Here is a 7,300-nt window from a genome sequence, read left to right on the forward strand (position 1 = left end):
CATGCAGGGCCCACATGGAGTTTTCTACACACAAGCACGTCATTTGTGAATAATGATAGTTTCACTTCTTTTTAATTTTAGTGTGTCATTTCTTTTTCTGGCCTCACTGCACTAACTAGAAGTCACAGTACAATGTTGAATACAAGCAATGACAGCTATTCAAATATTTATCCTTATCCATATATTTCCCTTTCTGGTGCTTTATTCCCTTTCCTGTAGATCCTGGCTTCCACATGGTATAACTCCTTCTTAGTCCAAAGAGCTTCTTTTAGTATTTGCTGTAGTATAAATCTGCCACAGACAAATTTAATCATTTTTCTTTTAGAAATAATTTTATCTTCATATTTGTAGGATGTCTTTATAGGAAATAGAATTGTGGGCTGACAATATTTTCTTTTAGCATTTTAAAGATATTGTTCTATTATTTTCTAGCCTTCACTGTTTCTGATACTGAGACAGCCATTATTCTTGTCATTGTTCCCTTACATATAGTTATCGCTTTTATTTGTCTATTATAAGATACTGCTTTTTATTTTGGGTTTACAGTAATTTGACCACGATGTACATAGGTGAAGATATTTTTTATATACTCCACTTAGGGTTGATTACACTTCTTTGCTGTCTTTCACTTATTTTGAAAATTCTCTTCTATTATCTCTTCAAATATTTCTTCTACCTCATTCTTTCTCTCCTCTCACAGGACTCCAACAACACATATGGTAGATCATTTGATTTGGGCCCACAGGTCTTGGAAATGCTCTTCCATTATTTTCATTGTTTTAAAACATCTCTCTCTGTGTTTCATTTTGGATATTTTCCACTGATCAGTCTTTAAGTTTACCAGTTTCTTTCTCACTCAGTTCAGTTGTCAATAAGCCCATTGAACAAATTCTTCTTTTCCCATGTTATGTATTTCATTTCTAGCATTTCCAACTAACTTTTAAAACATGTGCATTTCATTGATAAAGTTGCCAATCTACTTACATACATTATCTACCCTTTCCACAAGCTGATCATAATTATTTTAAAATTCCTGTCTGCTAATTCCAACACCTGGAACATCTCTGCATTTGTTTCTATTGACTATGTGCTCTCTTTAACATGGATTATATTTTCTTCTTTCATTACTTGTCAAACTTTTTATTTATATTATTTTATATTATTTATAAAATATAAAATATTTTATATTATTTATAAATATAAAATATTTTATTTATTTTATATTATTTATAAATATAAAATATTTTATTTATTTTATATTATTTATTTTATGTATTTATTTATTTTATATTATTTATTTTATTTATGTATTTTATATTATTTATTTATTGTATAGTGCATAAAGGAATAGTAATGACCAAAGAAAAACAGTATTTTCCCACAGAAAAGTTATGTCCTTTCTTCTGTCTGGTTGTAAGTTTGTTGAACCGAATCAATCTAACCTAGAGTAAAGCTGTGTTTGGACATTTTCACAGGTTTAGTTACATTCAGTTTACTACTGGCTTTACATTATGTGAGAATGAGATCAGGAATTTCTCTTCAGTAGTGTGTTGGAATCCTAGCACCAGTGGTACTCTGGAGATTTATTTGTTCTTTTCATCCAGCCTCCAGTTTTCTGAACCATGGGGCATCTCTTTATTTTTTATTTATAGTCTCGCTACTAGATTTTTGGTCACTGGGGAGTTTTCTTTGCCTTCATGCCAGATTTTCTGAATTTTAACCTTGGACCTATTAATGACCGATTGTCTAACTTGAATGAACTCACTGAACTTTTTCATCTCATTACTAAAATAGAATAAGAATCACTACTTCCATGTGTGTTAAGGAGTGACCTAACATCAAACAGCTAACATGCATATAGGAGAAGCATATGTGTTCTAGTTGAACTGCACGTGAAAGTCAAATTTGTTAAGAAAATAAAATACTCTTTCCAGCTCAATCTGTCTCTATCATTAACATTTTGAATTCAGTACTGTTGAACCAAATGCCAAGTCAGCAACTAATTATATTTTTCTTCTATAGGTCTATCTTTTTAAAAATAAGACAGTATTAAATCAGCCTGAGTTATTAGAAAGGATAGTGGGAGCACATGATCAAATTAAAAATTACATAGATTCCTGAAATAATTTTATTATTTGCAATTTTCTAGTGACCTCCAGAACTTCATGACATGTGATATTTTAATGCAGAAACATACTGAAAGACAGACAGCATGTAAATTCACAACCTCTGTGTTATAGACTGCATGAAAGGTAGATGAGAAAAGAAAGAAAAAGAAGAGAGAATACCAGGGAGTTAATATTCAGCATCACTTTATCAGCCATGCAATGGATTAACATTCATTAATCCAGTATTGTAGCTGAACAGAGTAGCACAGAGAGTTTCTGTACTCTCTCTGTAACTGTGGTTTAAAAAAAGAAGTTTGCATTGTTGAAATTAACCCATATCCACTGCCAAAAGTACATGATCCAGTGGCTAACATGTAATGATGCTATTTCTAAAAAATGTGTTGTAATTAAATGTCACAGTCTTGCATATATTTCAGACAACTCAGCACTGAAGTCAAGTCAGGTCACTGATAGAAAGTTATTGGTCAATGATCCCATTAAGCATGTGAAGTGATGCTCTATATTCAAAACGACTTCATCTTCTCTAAGGATAAAACCACCACCTGATCCCAAAGGGTGTATCCTTGTCCTCATGAGAACTCCATTAAAAATTAATATCTCCACCAATTACAGTAAGCTGGAAGGAGATTCTACTTTTATTGTGGTGAAACTTTTTATAATGAGAACATTGCTAGGAAAAAATATCTCAACTAAGAAGAGTATAAGGTCAAAAAAAGAATTGAAAGCACTTTCCCTTTACCTTATTGTCTCACAATAAGACCTAAGAAAATATGTGTGGTCCAAGATTGCTTGTGATATATACCTTACTCTGACCATATTTGTAAATTCTTGTACTGAAGGCTAAATAAATTCATGAATTGAAATGTTCCTCCTGAGCTTGGAACAAATATATTTCACGTTTGTAAGTTCTTCTCATAAGGATGATTTTTGAAATTTCATAGACTAAACATACATTTATATCTTCCCTCTCACTCCAAATCACACAGAGTAAAATATTTTATGCCTATTAAAAGTACAAGCAATGAACCACAAATTTTGTGAATTTCAGAGAGACAGACAGCATATACAATCATGCCTTTAGCAAAATAAAACTGAATGAAACTATAGGCTAGAATACACCTAGAAGAAGCCTGTTGTTGAAGGGGGAGGTTTGAAAGTCCCCAAGTCCAGTATTAGAAGTTTTAAAAATTAAGACAGAACCCTCAAACATTTAAAGAGTAATTAGTTGGAAGGCTCCTTTTGGAATAGCAGACGAGTTGATTTCTTTCTTTCCTGTCTTTTGCACTATGTGGGCTTTAACAACTGGCTAGAGAAGAATATTGAAGTTGGAGAAGACTTACAGTGCTAGGTAGCTACTCACTTCCAGGAGTGATGAGAACTTCCACATTTGAAAGATAAGCTTCCATTCCAAATGTTTCCCCCATTTGTTGGGGATAGATTCTGGTAATGCAAAGAACAAGTAAGCGGTGACTCTCAAATACAAAGCTATAGGCAGCCAAGATGTGCTAAACATTTTACAAAAGTCAGTAATAGAGAAACTAGGCATTAACAAAAAGAAGAATGACCACCCCCTTCTTAGAAAGAGTTAATAAAGTTAACAAAAAGACTTAGAATAAATATGAATAGTTGAAAGACTTGAAAGAACATTTCCTTTATGTAGAAGTATCTGCTACAAAATTTAATTTTAAAAATTCTATCTTCTCAGAATTAAAAAAATAAGAAAATTTCAATAGGTAGGCAATAATAGCAGCAATACATACTTTATGGTGAATTAGTGAGTTGAAAGATTGAGCTGAAACATTTTCACATGGAATAGAACAGATGGACAAAAGAAAGGAAATTATAAGTGCAGAGTTAAATGACATGAAGAGTATTATCTTGATATTCCCAAATCTAGATTATAGGAATTCCAGACTGAAAGAAATGAGAAAATGCAAGGATGTATATAATCAAATAAATATCAACCCAAAAAAATCCTCAGGTCTGGAGAAAGCATAAATCTTCAAATTAAAAGTGCTAAGCCAGATTTTATAAGAGCCAAAGCTACATGCATCATTGTGAAATTTCAGAATTTCAAGGATAAACTCAGAGAAAAACAACTTGAAAAAAAAATCAAACTCTGAAAAGTCAGCCTGCCATCAGCATAACTCCTCATAAAGACAACTCAGTACTAGAAGTCATTAACATCTTCCAAATTAAAGGGGGTGATGATTTTCAACCTACAATCCCATACCTAGCCAAACTAGCATTTGAGTGAAAGAGATTCTAAATACATATTCAGACAAGAAAAGCCTCCAGCTAAGCAATCTCTGAAAGAATTACTTGAGGATACACAGCAAAAAATAAGTAACGAATCCAGAAAAGGACATCACGTGGTCCTAAATATACAAAAGTGTAATAAGCAAATTCATACTAAAACCTAAATAATTGTTGATGTGCAACACTAAACCAAAACATAATAAACACTTGGAACAAAAATTCCACATAAACTCAGTATGAAATATGGTAGAATTAATGAAGAGGAAAAAATCAAAGGTGAGAGAAGATTTTTACTTTTTGGGAAATGGAAGCAGATAATCATTAATCTTAAATATCAATAGAACAATACAAATTTTTAAAAATGTGTTAAAAATGTAAGAGTAAGTATTAGAAGTGTAAGATCTATATCTTCTAAATCATAGTATTAAAAAATGGATCTTAGAAAAACATCCAAATTTGAAAGGATCATGCTTCCAGGCTTTCTCTTGTGCCTTTGTGGTGGTTGCCAAATACATTTATTTTCTGCCAAGAATGCACTACCTCTGCTAAAGTGTTTTCTAGCTATTTGTCTATTAGTATATTATTTTGCAATATATGCTATATCTTGCCACAATGCCAAGAATTCTCCGACAATCTACAATTCTCTGAAGTTAAAGAAGATTATTAGATCTATCCATTACAGGCTGTCACATGTCTTCAACTTCTTCAAGCTAAGTTCAATCGCTGGCTCCACTGCAGTGCACAAAAAGCTCTAAAAAGCTCCAATTCAAGCCATAATTGGAGGTTTGGGCTCCAGCACAGTTGTCCAGATTTTCCAAATGTCCAGCTTGTGCATTCTGGTATAAATTCCAGAATGAAAAACATTCCACTGGATGAGGAATGTATCATAATGTGCAGAAACTAGTTTCTAGTCCATTTAGACACAAAAACAAGCTCGGAAGAGGAAAATCACAAGCAGTTTCATTAGCATCAAATCATAAAACACAGCCATTTACAAAACTAGCTTCTCTCTCTTCCATTGGTCCAAAGAAGTATCCTGGGACAAGAGTGGTCTTGAAAAAAAAACCTAACCCTTCGGGATACCCAGAGATATTATTCATTTAAGTACATTGTATCTGGAGTTTTTTTTTTAAACTCATTGACATAATTCAAATTAATTTTTAAAAGTTCTCGGCTACTTCACACATACGCTATTGAAGCTATCGTCACACCATTATTGATATTTTAATACATTTAACTGTTAGCTAACTGAATATTCACAGATATTATTAATACATACAACATGGGTGGCAAAACTTGTTTTTCCAGTCTCTTTATAACTTGCCTCATTTGTCATCAAATCCATGTGGAGTGAAAAATAAAAGCTCCCCAATCGATTTAATTTAATAAAGCTAAGAAATAGGTGGTGTCTTCCCGGGACTGTGTTGATGAAATTGACCCAACACTCAGTTCTAGCATTTCCTCTCCGAGAAGAGCTTAACTTTACTTAATAAGACAGAGAGGGGGAGGAGCCAAGATGGCCGAATAGGAACAGCTCCGGTCTACAGCTCCCAGAGTGAGCGACGCAGAAGACGGGTGATTTCTGCATTTCCATCTGAGGTACCGGGTTCATCTCACTAGGGAGTGCCAGACAGTGGGCGCAGGCCAGTGGGTGTGCGCACCGTGCGCGAGCCGAAGCAGGGCGAGGCATTGCCTCACCTGGGAAGCGCAAGGGGTCAGGGAGTTCCCTTTCCGAGTCAAAGAAAGGGGTGATGGACGCACCTGGAAAATCGGGTCACTCCCACCCGAATACTGCGCTTTTCAGACCGGCTTAAAAAACGGGGCACCATGAGACTATATCCCACACCTGGCTCGGAGGGTCCTACGCCCACGGAATCTCGCTGATTGCTAGCACAGCAGTCTGAGATCAAACTGCAAGGCAGCAGCTAGGCTGGGGGAGGGGAGCCCGCCATTGCCCAGGCTTGCTTAGGTAAACAAAGCAGCCGGGAAGCTCGAACTGGGTGGAGCCCACCACAGCTCAAGGAGGCCTGCCTGCCTCTGTAGGCTCCACCTCTGGGGGCAGGGCACAGACAAACAAAAAGACAGCAGTAACCTCTGCAGACTTAAATGTCCCTGTCTGACAGCTTTGAAGAGAGCAGTGGTTCTCCCAGCACGCAGCTGGAGATCTGAGAATGGGCAGACTACCTCCTCAAGTGGGTCCCTGACCCCTGACCCCCGAGCAGCCTAACTGGGAGGCACCCCCCAGCAGGGGCACACTGACACCTCACACGGCAGGGTATTCCAACAGACCTGCAGCTGAGGGTCCTGTCTGTTAGAAGGAAAACTAACAAACAGAAAGGACATCCACACCAAAAACCCATCTGTACATCACCATCATCAAAGACCAAAAGTAGATAAAACCACAAAGATGGGGAAAAAACAGAACAGAAAAACTGGAAACTCTAAAATGCAGAGCGCCTCTCCTCCTCCAAAGGAACGCAGTTCCTCACCAGCAACGGATCAAAGCTGGATGGAGAATGACTTTGACGAGCTGAGAGAAGAAGGTTTCAGACGATCAAATTACTCTGAGCTACGGGAGGACATTCAAACCAAAGGCAAAGAAGTTGAAAACTTTGAAAAAAATTTAGAAGAATGTATAACTAGAATAACCAATACAGAGAAGTGCTTAAAGGAGCTGATGGAGCTGAAAACCAAGGCTCGAGAACTACGTGAAGAATGCAGAAGCCTCAGGAGCCGATGCGATCAACTGGAAGAAAGGGTATCAGCAATGGAAGATGAAATGAATGAAATGAAGCAAGAAGGGAAGGTTAGAGAAAAAAGAATACAAAGAAATGAGCAAAGCCTCTAAGAAATATGGGACTATGTGAAAAGACCAAATCTACGTCTGATTGGTGTACCTGAAAATGATGCAG

At 36.1% G+C, this 7,300-nt stretch overlaps 2 annotated features.

Moving 5' to 3' along the window:
* Positions 5,543-6,136: an enhancer, noted in NCBI's record as "H3K27ac-H3K4me1 hESC enhancer chr21:16299057-16299650 (GRCh37/hg19 assembly coordinates)". NCBI's record gives its function as "activates a minimal SCP1, AML or CMV promoter by ChIP-STARR-seq in naive H9 embryonic stem cells {active_cell/tissue: H9 hESC(naive)}" and the evidence as "EXISTENCE:reporter gene assay evidence [ECO:0000049][PMID:30033119]".
* Positions 6,137-6,728: an enhancer, noted in NCBI's record as "H3K27ac-H3K4me1 hESC enhancer chr21:16299651-16300242 (GRCh37/hg19 assembly coordinates)". NCBI's record gives its function as "activates a minimal SCP1, AML or CMV promoter by ChIP-STARR-seq in naive H9 embryonic stem cells {active_cell/tissue: H9 hESC(naive)}" and the evidence as "EXISTENCE:reporter gene assay evidence [ECO:0000049][PMID:30033119]".

This window comes from Homo sapiens, chromosome 21, assembly GCF_000001405.40.
Source record: "Homo sapiens chromosome 21, GRCh38.p14 Primary Assembly".
Classification (NCBI taxonomy): Eukaryota; Metazoa; Chordata; class Mammalia; order Primates; family Hominidae; genus Homo; species Homo sapiens.